Source organism: Homo sapiens, chromosome 15 (genome assembly GCF_000001405.40).
Source record: "Homo sapiens chromosome 15, GRCh38.p14 Primary Assembly".
Lineage (NCBI taxonomy): Eukaryota > Metazoa > Chordata > Mammalia > Primates > Hominidae > Homo > Homo sapiens.
This window is the reverse complement of record NC_000015.10, coordinates 66,051,521-66,069,755: the sequence shown is the minus strand read 5'-3', so window position 1 is coordinate 66,069,755 and position 18,235 is coordinate 66,051,521. Positions and strand designations below refer to the sequence as shown.

Genomic DNA, 18,235 nt, shown 5'->3' with positions numbered 1-18,235 from the left:
AGCATTTTTCATCCCAGTGTTTTTCTATGGAAAATATTCAATGCCTTAAAGACAGGATGGCCAAACCTTTCCATCACCTAGGATGATACTATAATAATAGAAGCAGTAGCAGTCTGGGCTAAATGCTGACTCTGTGGCAGTTAAGAGCACAGGTTCTGGAGGCAGGATGGTCCTATCCCAGCATCACCATGGTCCCGACTGTGGGACCTTGGGCCAAGTAATATGACCTTCTTTACCTCAATCTCTCCTTTTATAAAATGGAGCTAACAGTACCTTCTTTACAGGGGTTCTGTCTGGGTTAGATAAGGTGTTACATGTAAAGCACTTAGACGGTGCCTTGACAAAGTATTCAGTCCATGCTGGTTTACTCATTTAATCCTCATGGCAAATTCCTATTCCTTGCTTCATGGCAGGTACGGGCACCTGCCCATCCAAACCCTTGGTAATTCAAATTCAGAAAGAGAAAAGCATCACATATAAAGTTTCGGATTAATCATTCACTGTGACGACTTCCTTCCTTCTTTCTGAGCTCAGGACCAAACAGACTTGGACGGTAAGGGATATTTGCCCTTGTGGTCTCTAAGTACTTTTTTGCAATTACTTTTAATGGCAAAACTGCAATTACTTTTGCACCATCCTACTGGATACCATTATCATTCCCATTTTGCAGATGCAGAAGCTGAGGCTGAGAGAGGGTAAGGAGCCATGAGATGCAGGACTCAGTCCAGACTGTCTGACCCAGGAGCACCCAGTGACCAAGCACACTGCCACTCCCTGGTGTCTCACCGCTGTGTCCCTGGCTTGTAGTAGGGGCCCATGTTTGATGAGTGAATTTGTGAGTGAGGGGCACCCAAGAGCAGGCAGACACTGTTTTTCACCCATACATTGTGCCTCATTACCACAGAGTTTGTTGTGCCTCATGCATTGTCACTAGGGTAGGGGACTTTGCACAGCTGGCTACCCACTCTCCCCCATGACCAGCACCCTCATTTCAGTATGACCTCCCCTGATTCAGTCACCTGAAGAACAGAGCAGCAGCAACCAGCCTCTTCCATTCTGGAACCCATGACAATGGCCTGATGGAAGAGGCTTGGACAGTGGGCCATGAAAGACAAGGGCCAGGTGGAAAGAGCACTGGCTTAGAATTGGGACCCCTGGGGTTGAATCCCAGCTCTGCCACTAACTTGCTTTGTGATTTCAGGCAAGTCACTTACTTTCTCTGGGCCTCAACTTTCTCATTTTTCAAATTAGGTACTAGATTTCACTAGATCAATGGTTTTTAATGCCAGGGGACATTTGGCAATGTCTGGAGATATTTTTGGTTGTCACAGTTGTGGAGAAAGAGCACGATTGGTATGTGGTGGGTCGTAGCCAGGGTTGCTGCTAGACATCCTACAGCGTGCAGGACAGCCCACACAAGGGTTATCCCACTTCAAATGTCAGTAGTGCCACTACAGAGAAACCCTGTATCTATATCCAGCTCCAAATTCCCATTCTTCATTTGCTCATAAAACATTTATATATCAGGTACCTACTATGCACCAGGCAGTGCACAGGACAGGATCCCTGCCCTATTGGGGCTCACAGCTTATAAGGAATAATGATAATAAGAGTTAATATGGGCTGACTGCTAACTATATATTAATACCAGGGGTTTTTATTTTTCCATGAACTAGCTTACTTGATCCTCAACAACCCTTAAAAACTATTATTACTCCCATTTTACTGATGAGAAAACTGAGGCTCAGCAAAGTGAAGCATTTGGCTTCAGGCCACACAGCTAGTAAGTGGTGGCATCGTCATTTTTACTCCAGAACCCATGCTCCTAACTGCCCTGAAGCGAGGCGTTAAGTCCTTGCCAGCAACACCAGAGGAAAGGAGCTTGGAATGCTTAGCCCTGCTGTCTCTTTATCATGCAAACCATTTAGCGAACTGGAAAAGGGCCTCATGACTATAAACCAGCCAGTAATGACCTGACAGGCAAAGGGGGCTGGAGAAGTGTTAGGGCCACAGAGACATTAATCTGCTTCCAGCCACTGCTGCTAGCAAGACATTTGTTAGCGTGCTTATGGGAGCCATAAAAGGCTATTTGATGTCATTCCTCCCTACAGTGGGAGCCTCAGTGAGCAGAAAAGGAGCTTCCCAGGGCTCAGGTGTTGTAGGTCTGGTTGGCCAAAGGCAAAGGGTCCCACCTGCCACAGGTAGGATGCTGCCGGGAAAGAACGTGGGGCTGCAGCAGGAGAGCTGGATTCTGGTCCATTTTATGATCCAAAAACAGCTTTAAGGCCTCCAGCAAGTCCTGTAATTGCTGTGGGCCTCATTTTCTCCATCTGTAAAGTGGAAACAGTAATGTTGATTTTTCAGGGCTGTCCTGAGGCTCTAATAAGGTGACAGATGTAGACAGTGGATAGGAATGCATTTTACTGAGGTACTAGGCATCATTACTGTTGGTGACCACCGTGTGGGTAATAATAACTGCAGTAGTAACGTACAGGGATTTAGTCAAACATTAGGCCCGAGACTGGATCTGAGGTGTCATCAAACATTAGACCTGGGCAAAGCTTCATAAATCCATCTAGTTCATTGTGTAAGTAATAGCTTTCATTCATCCTGCACTTGTGATGCACCAGACACCGTTCTAAGCACTTTATCTGTATTAACTCATTGAATCCTCATATCAAACCTATGAGTTAGGGATGAATATGATCCCCATTTTACAGATGAGAAAACCGAAGCCCAGAGAGATAGCAAGGTGGTGCAGCTGGGCGCAGGCAGATTAGCTCCCCCTGTGACCACGCTCCACCCTCACACGGAGGAGAACTGGAATCAATTGTGGGTGACAGGCAGATGGTGCCTCTCCTTTCTGGGGGTCTCTCTCTCTCCTGATTGCTGGGGCCACAGAGCATCATCTGACCCCACCCTCCCTGCAGCAAAATGGAAACACAATGGTTTGTTTTTGTGGGGCTTGATTTTTGGGATGACTCCAAGCCTCAGCCCGGTGGGCTGATCAGGGAGGTGCATTAAGGAGGCAGGCTCAGCCCTCTGGCTGGCATCCAGAGACCTCCCAGCCCCCCTAGGGGTGTGGCAAGGAGATGGCAGGGACTCGCAGCCGTGGAGCTTGGTGTGACCACAGTGCAGCAGGTGCATTTCAGACAGACCTGTAGTGAGCAGGGTCTCCACTTGGACGCAGGCCACTTGGACCCAGGGCGGGCAGCCAGGGAGGACAGCTTGGTGCTCGGTTATAATGTGGTCTTCCAGGTTTTGCACAACATGCTGATGTTTGTTGTTTTTAAAATTATCATTGAAATAGCCACATAAAAATTTTAAATTCCTATAGATTCCCCCTGGGCTTCCAGCAATTCTAGAGAAACACTGCCTTAGATGGATCCCAGCATGCCAACAGTGGGGAGGTGGTGGGGAGGGAGGTCAGCAACCAACTGGGGGGCTCTGGTGTTTGTGCTGGGACCCTAAGAGCCATGCTCCCCTGACCCTGAGCCCCTGGCGTCTCTCGGCCTCCTCTTGCCTACCCTGCTGCTGCCCTCAGGGAAATGTCCTGGCACCCTGCTCATGATCTTGTTCCTGAGCTGGCAGAAGCTTCACGTGTCAGGCTTCCTCTTCCGGCATTTGGGAAGTTCTTAGGGAGGCCAAACCCACAGAGCTATCCAATGCCTTTCCTTCAAATTTGCTGTCCATTTGGGTCCCTGTTCAGAGCCATATGAACTGGGAGATGGATGAAATGGCTTTTTCAGGTCTCAAATCCTGTTAACTTGGGGTGCCTCTGCAAGAACACAAGGACAAACTGTCCTCCCACCACCAAGGCACAGCCCTCACCCCAGGCCCCAGCCCCTCTGTGCCAGGAGACCTGGGTGGACACTGTCCAAGTTCCCTGGAAGGTGAGGGAAACCCCACTGCTCCCCCACTTCGCCGGGCCCTCCTTAAATACCCTCCACAGTGGAAAGTCAGGGGAGATCTTGATGTTTGCCAAGTGGAAAAGACAGGAAAATCAATAGGGGGAAAAAATCTCATTTTCAAGCCTCTAAGCAGGTATTGCAATCAATAATGCAAAGAGCCGCAGGAGGCCATTAAGCCACACTCGGCAGTGTCCTCTTGGACGCAGGAAATGTTTGCTGAGCAATGGGACTTCAAGGGCACCTCAGTACCCACCCCCACCTGCCCAAGGACCACGGCTGTGGGCTGTGTCTTTTAAGGGAGCTGGTCTGAGTCTCCACAAGGGAAACGCTACTTGGAAGTGAGTTAGCCCATCCCCCAACCAGTGCGGACCCCAGTGCAGTGGACCCTCAGATCCAGACATGCAGAGCAAAGGACACAAAAGTGCAGGGGGTGGCATCCCATCTAACTTGGCCACAGGAGGTTTACCAGGAGTTGACACTTGCCATTTTCCCCTTTGTTTTTTATTTGCTCCTGGAGATAAACTGGATCTTTTTTTTTTTTTTCACCATCATAGAATAAATAGACTCCTGGTTTATGTTCCATCATTTCCTAGCTTATTGTGTATGCTGCAAAGTTTCATTTTTCCATCCTATTTCTGATAACTGCCAAAGAATATTAGGTGCTCTGGTGGGATGTTAGGGACGTGTGCTCTGACAATGGGTGCATCCCCCTCCTGCCCCACCCGTGGCAGCATTTGCTTCCCCTCTTGCCTCTGAGCTGTGACTGTGCTTTTAAAACCTGCTGGGTCTCTATGGACACAAGGGCCAGTGAATCAGGGCTTATTGGCATGGCACTGCATGGACCAGGAGGAAGAGGGCTTAGAAGGAGACCTGGTGCCTTCCAGACACTCCCAGGTTGGGGTGGGAGCTCCAGGCTCTGACTCACAGTGCTCCCAGCCTGATGGAGGAATCTAGACCCTGTCTATAAGATGATGGAACAATAGCACTTAAAAAACCATATAAAAATCATCTCACAAGGCCGGGAGTGGTGGCTCATGCCTGTAATCCCAGCACTTTGAGAGGCCAAGGCTGGTGGATCACCTGAGGTTGGGAGGTCAAGACCAGCCTGACCAACATGGAGAAACCCAGTCTCTACTAAAAAAAAAGAAAAAAAATACAAAATTAGCCGGGATGGTGGTACATGCCTGTAATCCTAGCTACTTGGGAGGCTGAGGCAGGAAAATCGCTTGAATCCGGGAGTTGGCGGCTGCAGTGAGCTGAGATCACACCATTGCACTCCAGCCTGGGCAACAAGAGTGAAACTCCATCTCAAAAAGAGAAGAAAAAATCATCTCACAAACCCCTACCCTTCCAAGAGATGGCCCTAATTCATTAATTGTCCTGAAATTCTGTTGTAGTGAGTATTACCTGGGGAAAATGTGTTATTTAATGGGATTTGAAGTTGTTTGATACAGCGTTTTCTTTCCTTCTTTTTTTCAAACAGAGTCTTGCTCTGTTGCCCAGGCTGGAGTGCAGTGGTGCAATCTCGGCTCACTGTAACCTCCACCTCCTGGGTTCAAGTGATTCTCCTGCCTCAGCCTACAGAGTAACTGGGATTACACACGTGCGCCACCACACCCAGCTCATTTTCTGTGTTTTTAGTAGAGATGGGGTTTTGCCATGTTGGCCAATCTGATCTCGAACTCCTGACCTCAAGTGATCTGCCTTCCTTAGCCTCCAAGTGCTGGGATTACAGGTGTGAGCCACTGCGCCCAGCCAGTATTTTGTTTTGTTGCTATGGCGTTTCATCAACGTGCTAGGTGGCAGGTGTGGTGATAGGTTCTGAACATGGGCTTTGGAGTTAGACAGACTGGGTTCACATCCCACCTGCAGAGTTGACAGTTTCTGTGCAACCTTGAACCTATAATGTGACTTTTCTGAGATTGTTTCCTCATTAGAAAAAAGTAAGGATAGTCATACCCAATCACAAGCTTCACTTAAGAAGTACATGCTCCCAGCAATGTCTGACAAAGAGTGGGTTCTTAACAAATATTTGTTTTCTTCCCTTTATCCCTTTCCTCCACAGATTTTAATCTGACTGATGCAAATTTAATGGAGAACTCCCAAGTGTAGAGAGCTTGCAGGCTAAGAAATACTCCAAATTTCGGGGGTTAATCAAGAAAGGCTCCCTGAAAATAGTTTGGGGTCTGTCTCTCCTAAGCCCCACTTGGGGCCCTTGTACCCAGGCAGAAAGACTTACAATGAAGACTTGTGGGGAGAGGCCGTGCACACACTCAGTAGGTGCTCCTGCAGCATGGTTTGGGGCTGGAACTATGGCCTGGAATTTCTGCTGCCCAAGAATGAAGGCCAGGCTGTATCACTTCCCCAGGCTTTCCAGGCCACCCCAGGGGCCCATCAGAAATGGAGCTAGGGCTGATTAGTTGGGAGGGACCCCTGGCAAGTTCTCTCATTGCTCACCAAGACTAGTGTAACTGCCTCTCATCTGGGCTCCCTGCATCTGACCTTGCCCCATCCATCTCATTCTCTACCCAGCAACCAGTGTGAACTCTAAAACATGAGTCAGATCACATCCCTCTTCTGCTCAAAAGCCTCCAGGGGCCACTTAGAAATGATATTTAAAGCTTCAAGCCTGTCCTGGAGTGTTTTCAAATAAAAGTATCAATTTGTCTAGGTGCAAAGCCATTTGTTTGAAATTATGTAACTTGTTAGCATTTGAATAAAAGAGAAATTTCACAGCAGTGAAAATATGCCTTTTTAACACTCTATGGTTCAGTGACATCTTAGCTCCTCAGAATACACATACCTGACCTAGATGTTTTTGTAGATCGTATTTTTAAAACTCACATCTGAAAACACTCTTTTCCATAATTTAAAGGGATGGTTTAACAAAAATGTCTATCACTTTCACAAATAAAAACAATCTTCCATGTCACTCAATCATGCCACTCAACCTCATCTCCTATAATTGCTCCCTTGCACACCTGCTCCAGCTATGCTGACCTCCATAGGGTTCCTTTCCTGCCTTAGGGCCTTTGGCACTGGCTGTGTCTTCTACCTGCAATTATTGTCTTCCCCCAAATATCTACAAAGCTCACTATGTCACCTTATTAGCTTTCTATTGCTGTAGAAAGAACTCCCACATATTTAGTAGCATAAAATACCCACATTTATTATCTCATAATTTCTGTGGGTCAGGAGTTTGGGCACAGCTTAACTGGCTCCTCTGCTCAGTGTCTCACAAGGTTACAACCAAGGTGTCGGTGGGCTGCAGTCTCATCAGAGGATTGACTGGGGAAGATCTGTTTCCAAGGTCCCTCTGGTTGTTGGCAGAATTTATCTCACTGTAGCCATAAGACTGGGGCCCCATCCTCCTGCAGGCTGTCAGTCAGGAGCTACACTCAACTCCTAGAGGCTGCCCACAGTTCTCTGCCATGTGGCCATCTCCACTGGCCTTTTACAACGTGGCAACTTCTAGCTAGTAAGGGACAAAAGTCTTTCTAGTGCATGCTAGCAAAATAAAGCTTTCCTCATATCCTAACATGGGACAGCCCATCATCTTTGCCATATTCTATTAGTTAGAAACAAGTTATAAGTTCAGCCCATACTCAAGATGGGAGGGGACAAACATGGGGGCCACCCTAGCCTGTGGGCCTTTGCTTGCTGCTCTCTGTGCCTGGAAAGAGCTTCCTCCTGCTCTTTGCAGAGGTGACATTTGATTGCTCATATATCAGATGTCACCTTCCCAGAGAGGCCTTCCCAGATCACCTGACCAAAAAGAGGCTGCAAGCCAGCTCAGTGGCTCACACCTGTAATCCCAGCACTTTTGGGAGGCCAAGGCAGGAGCATCACTTGAGCCTAGAAGTTCAAGACCAGCCTGGGCAAGACTGTCTCTACAAAAAAATTTTAAATTAGCCAAGTGTGGTGGTGTGCACCTATAGTACCAGCTACTTAAGCTGAAGCAGGAGGATCACTTGAGCCCAGGAGTTTGATTATCAACCTGGGCCACATAGGGAGACCCTGTTTCTACAAAACAATTAAAAAATTAGCTGGGTGTGCTGGTGCATGCCCATAGTCCCAGTTACTTGGGAGGCCAAAGCGGGAGGATTTTTTGAGCCCAGAAATTTGAGGCCACAGTGAGCTATGATTGTACCACTGCACCCCAGCCTGGGTGACAGAGCAAGACCCTGCCTCAAAAAAAAAAAAGGCTCAAAAAAAGAGGTTCTAGCACCCCCTACCCTAGGCACTGTGCCCCTAATCACCAGCCAGACGTTGATGACAATCTGTGATCATCTTATTGAGTAGGTCATGAGTTTGCCTTCTGTCTCTGCTGTAGCTGTCAGCCAGCTGTGGGGCCTCCTCTTGCCTCCTCCAGCATCTCCCCATGCCTGGAGCCATGCCCCACACTCAAGAGAAATGGAAGTGAACAAGTAAAGGAGGCTAAGTCTGACGTGTGGGGGTCAAGCCTTTCCAGCCCCATGTTAGGAGAAGGGGACAGTGAGGTGGGAAAACTGCCCTGGCCAGAATGCCTGGGACGGCCTGCAGTAACTCCCTGGACTGCCTGCACTCCCTGGGCCTCAGCCCCTGCTCTGTGAAGTCAGGGTGGGGCAGCTCCACTCTCCCTGGTCCTCTGATCAGAGTCGGGACTTACCCCTTGGCCCTGATCCAAAAGGTCCCCAGGTTTTGAGGTGACAGCCTTCAGTCACCACGTTTCAGTGAGGCGCCTGGGAGTCACATTGTTTTAATCCTTCCTGAGGCCCAGGTCTCTGTAACCAGCTCCTCCTCCTAACTGGGCTCCCCATCTTCACTGCTACCCTGGCCCTAGCTGGGGAATCCCTGCCCCTCCAGTCCCCATTCCAGCCCTAGGCGTCCTCAGGAGGGCTAGGAGCCAACGCCATGGGTCCTGGGCACAGCAGGTGGGTTTGCCCAGACTGCTTCAAGCCACAGAGGCTAGGCCTCATGAGGGTCTCTGTTTCCGTCCCTTTAGACTGTCATATCCTCACATCTGTTGTCAGTTTTCCTCTCATATTCCTAGATCTCTGTCCACAATCAGTTCAACTGCACAGATCTTTCCTGCTCACTTAGTGCTGTAGGTGCTGCGAGGACACGGGATGAACAGATGTGGTCTCTCCTCAGGAGCTCACAGTCTAGAGAGAGGGACAGACACACCAGGTTAACCAACATCCAAGGCTGAAGCCATGGCGGGGGGGCCAAGTGCCTTGGGGGGTCCCAGAGGACAGAGGGTCATTTGCCTGGAGGGTACACTTCACAGAGGATGTGGCCTTTGACATGGATGAAGGAGGAAGACAGTTCCAACAGGTACTGCAGAGAGGAGAAGGCTACATCCCTCGGAGGCTTCTGCGCAAAGGCGTGGAGGCTGGATGGAGCGTGCAGTGTCATTCAATGGTGGGCAGCAGCTTAGAGCAGCAGTAGCTGGGTACTGAGCTAGTTCTGCAAGGGGAGAGACTGTGTTTGGCTTGGGGGTCTCAAGGGCATGGAAAGGAGTTTGGGATTTTATTGGATTTGGATTTTCTGACCTGAGGCTTTGGTGCTTGCTCCATCTCTTCCTTCTGCCACCACTTCTGGGGCAGCTTTTGCCGTGTCTCTGTCTCTCTGTCCTCCACCTCCCTGCCTTCTCTTTCCCCCTCCATCCCCATCCCTCTGACTCCTTAGCCGTCAACCCCACTCCCCTTTCACAGTATCTCCGGTCCCGGGCCCCATCTCCTAGTCACTCATCTCTTTGTTGCCCCATCCTTCATCCCTCTGCTGTCCATCCCTCTGTCTCTCTTGTCCCTTGGTTCCCCGCCTGCCCCCATCCCACAATCCTAATGCTCCCCCACCCACTGCCTGACCTGTCCCTTCCCAGGTTCCCCCTCAGACACTTCCCTGTCCTTCTGTGCTGCCCAACCTTCCCAGGAACCCTGGCCAAGGAGGTGTGGTTGTTTTTCGAGCAAGATAGCAGATTTGCCTTAGTTTCCAGCTTGTTTGTTTTACTATAATTAGGTAAATAAATCAGCATGTTAGCTCCCTGCCTGGGAGCCGGGCTTCTTCTAGAAGGAGCAGTTCTACCGTAGGTAGAGTGGGCAGGGGAGTCCCTGGGGTTCTGGGACGTTCTGGTCCTCTTCTGGCCCTGACAAATGGGGATCACTGGATCTCTCCCTCTGCTCACCCTCTCCACTCCTCAGCCAGCACAGTTCATATTTCTCTGAATTTAAGAACCTGGGGCAACTGGTTGGCTAGCGCTGTGGGGGGTCTCTGGGACTGGGCAGGGGCGGGAGGGCTGGGAGTTTTGCTGAGTCAAAAGCACATGGGTAATGAGGGCTGCAGGTGTTGCTCATTAAGCCACACACCCCACTTTTCCTGACATCCCCACTTGGACTGTGGGGCAAATATGGCAGCCGATGAGCCCCTGTTCCTCTGCCTAGGACCATTAAAACCCAATTAGCCGAATGAGGACCTGCTGAGCAGGGCGCCTTTCCTCTTCTGCAGGAATGCTATGGGCTGGGAGAAGGGGTAGCGGGGCTCTAATGAGCCTGGCAGGACTGAGCCAGAGAAAGTGCAACAAAGACTTAGGTTAGAGCTAGTGGAGAACTTCCTCGTGGTGAGGATGGCGCGGGGGAGGGAACAGCTCTGGGCTGGGTTCTCCCCGGCTGTGCCACTAAGCCACACCCTCCCATTGGTCCTCCATGTGAGTTAAGGTTAGAGCAATGGTTTCTAAATGGAGCCAAATCTGGAGCAGGCTCCTCCAGGGTAACTAGGGGGGATGTTCCAAATATTCAACAGTCACTGGGGTTTGATGACGGGGCCCTGACCTACTCACCCCCAGACTCCTAGCAGGGGAAGGATCAACCCTTTAATTGCCGAGTGGTTGGGAGTCCTGGATGGGGAGGTCCCAGTGAAGGGGCTGAGGTGGTCTGGGGTAATGGGGAGACTCAGGGCACTACAGGGCTTGGGGAAATGGTTCTTTATCAGCTAATATGGAGATATTTCAGGATTTTCATGACTGGGACAGACATCTCAAAGTGTATCAGCTAAATAACAGCATTGCATGTCATCAAAGGAGGCATCACCACCTCCTCCTCCTCCTTCCTGGTAGGGAGCAGGATGCACTGGAATAGGGCCACCCCGAAGAGGGAGGATAGCATGAAGTGACCCCTGATGCCTCCCTACAGAGAGAGAATGACTGAGGCACCCAGAGGCAACTTTATCCCTTCCTCAGAGCCTCTAGACCTGTGGAGGGGGAATCTGGGGGAAGTACATAACTGGGATGCCTCAGCCCTGAAACCTGTTCCCCAGATCTGTCTCTGCCTGACTGTATTGGGGTGCTCCGGGGCCCAGCCCAAAGCTGTCTCTCAACCCCTTGGAGAGATGTTATTAACAGCTCCTGAAACTGCCTCCTCAGCTCCTGGCTTGTCTTAGCCTAAGTAGGCCTTTTGGATTTATTAGTTCTGGGGGTGGAAAGAAAACAGCTTCTTGAAGAAGTGTGTTAGTGCCGCATTTCAAACTTCCAGGCTTGATGGAAATGGTAGTTAAAACATTTTAAGGCTCTTAGGTAAAGTTGCATTTGCCTTCCGCACAGCCTGTATTCTGATATTATCCATTTACTGCCGTTGCCCTGTTATATGGCTGAGAGGTGGTGCTTTATCAAGAGCTGTCAGCCCATCTTGCAGGGATATGGCCCCGGCTTCCATCTGTGAGCCCATCTCATTGAAACCACCAAGAATAAAAAACATCAGAGAACAATTGTGCATTTTAATTAAGCCTCAGTGTGCACCCTATTGTGGAGATGCTAATATTAAAGAATTCTTTTCACTTTGCAGGAAGCTGGAATATTTGTTCCCCATGTCATTTCTAAATTCTTTTTGTGTGGCAATTAATAGTTAACTCCTGGGAAATAAAGCTACTGCTTGATTTCATCTTTATGGCCTGGCATTAAAATAACTGTTCCTGATAAACTATTACAATAAAGTATTGAGAAGACCCTGCTGAAAGGGGGTTTTCGTTCAGGTATTAATTCTACTTAAGAGCTGGGCCCTGAACAGATCTTTTGAATCCTAGTTTGTTTCCTTTTTTATGATGAAATGTCAGTGAGCCTAAACATAATCATAATAATAGGAGAATAAGTGTGTATTTAAAGGGTAGGGGACCTGGTCCACCTTTCCACCCCTCCTATAAAGGTATTTCCAGTTAGTATGATGACCCTAATTAGGTGCCTATAACAGCCTTCATCTGCTTGCATCACTTTTAGCCAGAACATGTCCTTGACGTAATAGAAAAGGTGAAATCAGCACATTTGTAGTCATTGTAGCAGCCCAGCTCTACCTGATATCAACAATATTTAACTGGGAGACCTAATTTGAGTTTACAAGTGATTACAAGGTATCCTACGGGATGCTGCTTACCAATGCATTCTCAAGGAAGTTGCAAAACAGTGACGAATTAACTTGTTACACTGTCAAAATCAATTACTACAAAAGACAGCTTAACTTCTTCAGCCCTGATCTTAGGGTCTCTGAGCCAGCACCACTGCCCTCTGCCCTTCAAGCGCTGCTCAGGGGAATCTTCCCAGCCCAAGCTGCCTGCCACCAGCCAACCTCCCCGACGCCCTACCCTCGTTTTGCTTCACCGAAAGCCTCCAGTTTGAATTTTGGAATGTGAATTCTCAGGAGCAGGGAGTTGGGGGAATGGGAAGGGAGAGTCAGCCTGACACATCCTCCCCACCACCCCCTGAAATGATGTTCTCTCCCATGAAGGCTGGGGGAGATTGATTCCTGCTGTGGTTTTAAGTAAGATAAACATCTGAAGGGCCCAAAATCTTTATTTTGCAGCATTGAATGGAAGGGGCAATTTATAAATGCTCCTTTAATATTTCTGAAACAGATTGGCCAGTAATTTATAGACTGCAACATTGAGGACTGAATTAATTTTCCCAGTGAGAAAAGTCCACATGCAGCTTGGCGAAAGCTGCTCCTGGCATCCCTAAGCAAAATCAGAGAATGACAGGGTGAAGGGGGACCTTGGAGGTGATGAATCCGACGCTGTCAGTTTCCCAGTGGGGGAAACTGAGGCCCAAGGTCACACAGCAAGTTCCTGGCTGAGTCAAGTCTTGAGCTCCAGCCTCCTAAGGGCTAGACCAGTTCTTCACTCTATCCCCTTCTGGGTAGGTGAGGTCTCATTGTTGAGCTTACCTTTCTATGTTATTGGTGCTTATAGCCTCATACCACTGAGAGGGCCCTGCATTCTTCTCTGGCTTTTGTTTCCTTTCTTCTCAAAAGACGAAGATGTCCTTGCCTGAATTACGAGTTGTAGGCCCAATGCTGAAGATCGGGGGCAGGCTAAGGTTCTTGCTTGCATGACTGTCCACATGTCGGGCTCATGTGGGTAGGGAATCAATAGCTATTAAGTACCTACTATATCAGGTGCAGGGCTGAGCACTATATCTACATTATCTTGTTTATAATCCTCACAACAATGCTGACTGGGGCTCCTATTTTGATCTCCTGTTTTACAAGGGTAAAATGAGGCTCAGAAGGTTAAGTCCTGCTCCTTTTTACCACCCCACACCCTGCCCCCTCTACAGCCCCTCCCTCTTCTCTCCAGGCCCAGAACAGCAAGAAATCAAATGGGTCAGATGCTTCCAGTGATTGGAAGGATTGGGTAAGGCATTAACTAGACCAGCACTTCTCCCACTGGAATGCACCCATCAGTCACCTGGGAGCCTCGTTAAAGTACAGATTCCCAATAGTAGCTGGGGAAGGGGGTGAAATGTGGAGCCTGACACTCTGCATTTCTAACACGCTCACATATGGTGCTGCTGCTGCTGGTTTAGGACCATATTTCAATTACTAAGGGCCTGGATCACCCTACCAGAGCCATTTGCCTCCATGCTTTCCCGAAGCCTTCCATCCAGTGTCATACTAATGGTCAGAAAGCCCATTCTCCTGACTCTGGAATTCGGGGCTTCTTTTTTATCCTGGCCAGTCTCTACGAGAGAGATGGAAACCACCACCACCCCTCAACTGCAGAGCCTCCCGAATCATGTTGAGGTTGTTCTGTATGTAAAACCTAAGCAGTGCGGCCGCGTGAGGCTTCCCACCATTGTGATTTAATAACTAGTAACTGAACAACAAGTTGGTCCCTTCCATTTACTTGGTTCTTGAATCACAGAGCTTGTGTCACAGGCAAGATCTTTACGTGAAAACTGTGTTGAGTCCCGAATGTTACCAAACATTATAAATAGCAGCTGGTTTGTTTTCCAAATGCTCTATGCTCTGAAATGAGAAAAGAAATACATAGAACCAAAGAGGCTGTTTCTGTCCCCCCGATTCTGACACACCAGCACAAACACACGCTACCGAACGAGGCACCCTCGTGCAATTATGTTGTGGATCACGTCTGAATATCTCCTTGTACATGACATTTACGAAGAAAAACACTTGCAAATTAAATGTTTGATTAAATTACATCTTTTACAGTGTAAAATGGGTGAGCATAATTGAAAGCTGCATTAGCTAAAGAACACGAACTTTATATGAGCTTTATCCTGGGCCTACGAATCTCGATAGTTTTACTGAATCCTTAGTGCCAATGGCCCAGAGTATTTATGCATTACATCTCGTAAAATAATCTAAAGGTTCAGTAGTGTGCAGCCTTATCAGAGCTAAACCGGTACAGTTTGACCACGAATCTTGTCTAAGGGCAGTGAGCACTTGCCGGTGGAATTGTGGGTGTATTTTATCAAGAGCTAACTTGGTTAGTCTTTCTTGTGTGGTTCAATACAGGAGGGATGGCTACCCAGTCACCCAGATTCTAAGTCTGTACTCACTTTTCCAGATTCCATGTCTACACCAATAATAGCATCTAATTTACTGCCGGCTTCTAGAGAATAGCCTCTTTTATAATCTTGAGATGTAGACATATACTTTCTGGACTATTCCCTTCTTCCCTTTTGTATTTCATCCTTTTCTCTTCTCTTTACTATCCCTCCCTCTCTTTCCTTCGTTTCCACCTTTAATCTTCCCTTTACCACCCTCATAACCCTGCCTTTTCCTCAAGTTTGAGGACTGCATCAAATTTCCCAAGGTAGTTCCCTATTTAAGAGCACCTCTCAATGACTGTGTGTTTAAAATGAAGACTTTATATAGTAGAGTAAGGCCCTAATTCCATTATCTGGCCTTTCTTGTGATACTTTTAAAAGAATACCTCTGCAGCCCAAGTGTTCAACATGTGTGCTCACTCCATTTTCCAGGCCGCTCACTCTGCCCAGGCCAATGGAGGAAATCTTCATCCAGACACCCCTGGAGGTGATTTTTAAAGACCGAGTTAGAGTTTGCCAAGTGAAGAAGCCAGAGTGGGGAAGGGACATTCTAGGCAGTGGGAGCAGCACATTCAAAGGCCAGGAGTTGGGAAAGGGCCCAGGTAGTCTGGGAATGTTGGAGAGTCTGTGGGGGCAGGTGGAGATGAGGGGCTGGAGTTGACTCTGGAGGGACCTGTTAGGATCAGGCTGTGAGAGGCCCTCATGGAGGAGCCTGCAGAGAATTTTAAACCAAGAGGGGACCTGATCGCTTTTGTGTTTCACATGGTTGGCTAGAGTACAGGGTGGACTGCCAGCCAGTGGAGAGCAGCTGGCTAGGAGCTGCTGCATCAACGCAACCAGGCAGGCACTTAGGAGACAGGGGCTGGGCCAGGCAGCCCTGCCAGGAAGGCTTCAGGGAACTGAGCAGAGCTGGGAACTGGGGACCCAAGAGGGCAAGGATGCCAGCCAGGAGGGGAGAACTGGCAAAAGAAAGGCTAAGGCCTCCAGTGGAGATCAAAGGGGTCAGGGAGGCCGGGCATGGTGGCTCAAATCTATAATCCCAGCACTTTGGGAGGCTGAGCTGGGCAGATTGCTTGAGCTCAGGAGTTCAAGACCAACAGCCTGGGCAACATGGCAAAACCCTGACTCTACAAAAATTAGCCAGGCATGGTGGTGCATGCCTGTAGTCCCAGCTATTTGGGAGGCTAAGGTAGGAGGATCACCTGAGCCCAGGGAGGTTGAGGCTGCAGTGAACCATGATCACACCACTGCACTCCAGCCTGAGCAACAGAGTGAGACCTTGTCTCAAAAAAAAAAAAAAAAAAAAAAAAAAAAAATTGGTGCCAGGGGAGGGGGAGCTGAGTCCTGGCCCTGGCTGGGAATGGAGAGGATTAGTGTTAGGTTTCAAGGGTTCCCAGAGTGTCTGGGCCATGTCTCCATGAGCAGGGGTCTGGGCCCTGAGGGTGGCAACTAAAACATCACAGAAGGCAGGATGGCTGCTGATTACCAGCAATGTAAGGGAGATTGGGAAAACTGCTGTTGGGTTGGGGAACTAAATAATGATAATGATAATAATGATAACCCCATTCCCCTATGTATACTACATTTCAAAATTATCTGAGCCACTTGACCCTGCCATGTTGTTACTAACAGCATGAGAAATCTAAAGCAGGTTAATTGAACTAAAGTCACAATCAATGAAGATGTAATATTTAAGTCCCCATCTCCTCGTCTAGTGTTTTTAACAGGCAAGGATGTTAGTACTCCTTCGCATACTTATATCTGGCTCTATGCTAAGCATTGTGGAAAACACAAAGGATATGAAAAATCATTGCCTTAAGGAAGCTCAATGAGAAGGCAAAGTTAATCCAGTGAAAGTAGTGAACAATTACAAGGAAGTATCCATTTATTATCCATACATTCACTGGCCCACCCACCCATTCACCCACCAACCTACCCATCCACCCTGCCACTCATGCATCCATCCATCTATCCATCCATGTACCTGTCCACTTGTCCATTCATCTGCCCATCAACCCATGCATCCATCCATTTGGCATTTACCATAGTCATTATAAACTGGGTCATCAAGATCCTAAGTTGATTCTTCCCACTCTGGCTGCATATTAGAAGCACCTGGGCATTAAAAATACTGATGCCCAATTCGCCAGAGATTCTAATTTCTTTGGTCAAGGGTGGGGCTAAGCTTTGGTATTTTTTAAAAGCTCCCTGGGAATTTCAATACGTAGCCAGAGTTGAGAACCTTCTAACATGGTTTAGTTGTTCAAAGATGGGAGGGCCTCAGAAGGTTCCTAGAAGCCCCCTAGTGCAGCCTCACAGCCACTGAGGGGAGGCCTGGATGATGGTAGTTTCGGGAGTTGGCCCATTATCATCTTTCTCTCGGCTTAGAGTAGCTTCTCCTAGCCCTCTCTGCTAGCAGTTGGGGAAAGCATCGAGAAGGAGGCATGATTTGATCTGGGCTTTGAAGAACAGGCAGGCCTGGAATAGACAGGGGAAAAGTCGTTTCAAGTTGAAATGGAGTCACAGCGCAGCCCAGGATGTGGATCAGGATTGAGGCTGGTGAATTTGGAGACAAGAACCTCTATGTGCTTTTGAGAGCTCTTTCAAGTCATAAAACAAACAGACCTCTTCCCAAACACCCAGGCATCCCTTCTGTGGAGCTCCTTGACTGTGGCCCATACCAGAGTAACAGGGGAAGTAACAAGGACGGCTGGGCCATCATCTCACCATCATCATTTACCATCCATCCTGCTGTTCTCTGAAAGCAAACACCTTGCCCCCCACCCCCAGCACAGCCCCACCTGGAGAGCAATGAGGAGTGATGAGCCCGTTGCAGGGAGGAAGTTTAAACAATTACTTTGCTCTGATTAAGAAGGCTAATGCCTCTCTTTGAGGAGCAGCGTTAATGGGAAAGTGGGGATGATGGATGCTCACCCCTACCCACATAAATCTCACCTGTGCGCCTCTGTTGCCTCCTCATGATGCATGTATGAGATAAATTCTCCAAATCTATTTTTGTGCCGTTGCCAGCAGCCTGCTGATGGAGTAAATAAGAGTTATGGCCGCCATAATGGCATCACTTAGGAGGGGCTGAAAAAACAGCAAACATGTCTACACTGTTCTTATAAATCTATTATAAATGTGGGCTCAAGTTCCCAAGGAAGTTCCACGAAACTGCACAGCACTCGCTTTCTCTGGAGTCTAAATGAGCACCTGAACGAACAGGTGCCAGAGATGCCGAAATCGACCAGTGAGCCCTTCCCAGTCATTTCCTCCCTCCCTCCCCTCTGAGTTCTAAGCCCTGGTCAGCTGTGAGAGCAGAAGCTACACAGAGCCAAGGAGCCACCGAGCATGCCCCAAGGCTCCAGCCCCTGCAGATGGGATGGCTGCCACCAGCACCTTCATTTAACAACTCTGGGGCATGGCAAATCTGAAGTGGCTGGGCGGAATGCTCTCATCTGGTGGAATGGGCAGGGGGAAGCCTTTGAGAGAGAGCTGACTTGGGATAAGC

General features: G+C 48.6%; 1 protein-coding gene across 23 annotated transcripts in view, besides 3 other annotated features; it reads left to right on the top strand.

The window, feature by feature from the left end:
• The window catches only part of MEGF11 (multiple EGF like domains 11), a 358,452-nt gene that overhangs the window by 183,995 nt on the left and 156,222 nt on the right, over positions 1-18,235 (top strand). The gene's annotated exons all lie outside the window — the stretch shown is intronic.
• Positions 3,332-3,894: an enhancer, noted in NCBI's record as "H3K4me1 hESC enhancer chr15:66358200-66358762 (GRCh37/hg19 assembly coordinates)". NCBI's record gives its function as "activates a minimal SCP1, AML or CMV promoter by ChIP-STARR-seq in primed H9 embryonic stem cells {active_cell/tissue: H9 hESC(primed)}" and the evidence as "EXISTENCE:reporter gene assay evidence [ECO:0000049][PMID:30033119]".
• Positions 4,037-4,237: a silencer, noted in NCBI's record as "fragment chr15:66357857-66358057 (GRCh37/hg19 assembly coordinates)". NCBI's record gives its function as "represses an EF-1alpha promoter that drives an FKBP-Casp9 reporter gene in an ReSE screen in both phorbol 12-myristate 13-acetate-treated (for megakaryocytic differentiation) and untreated K562 erythroleukemia cells {active_cell/tissue: K562 | K562(+PMA)}" and the evidence as "EXISTENCE:reporter gene assay evidence [ECO:0000049][PMID:32094911]".
• Positions 12,540-13,040: an enhancer, noted in NCBI's record as "H3K4me1 hESC enhancer chr15:66349054-66349554 (GRCh37/hg19 assembly coordinates)". NCBI's record gives its function as "activates a minimal SCP1, AML or CMV promoter by ChIP-STARR-seq in primed H9 embryonic stem cells {active_cell/tissue: H9 hESC(primed)}" and the evidence as "EXISTENCE:reporter gene assay evidence [ECO:0000049][PMID:30033119]".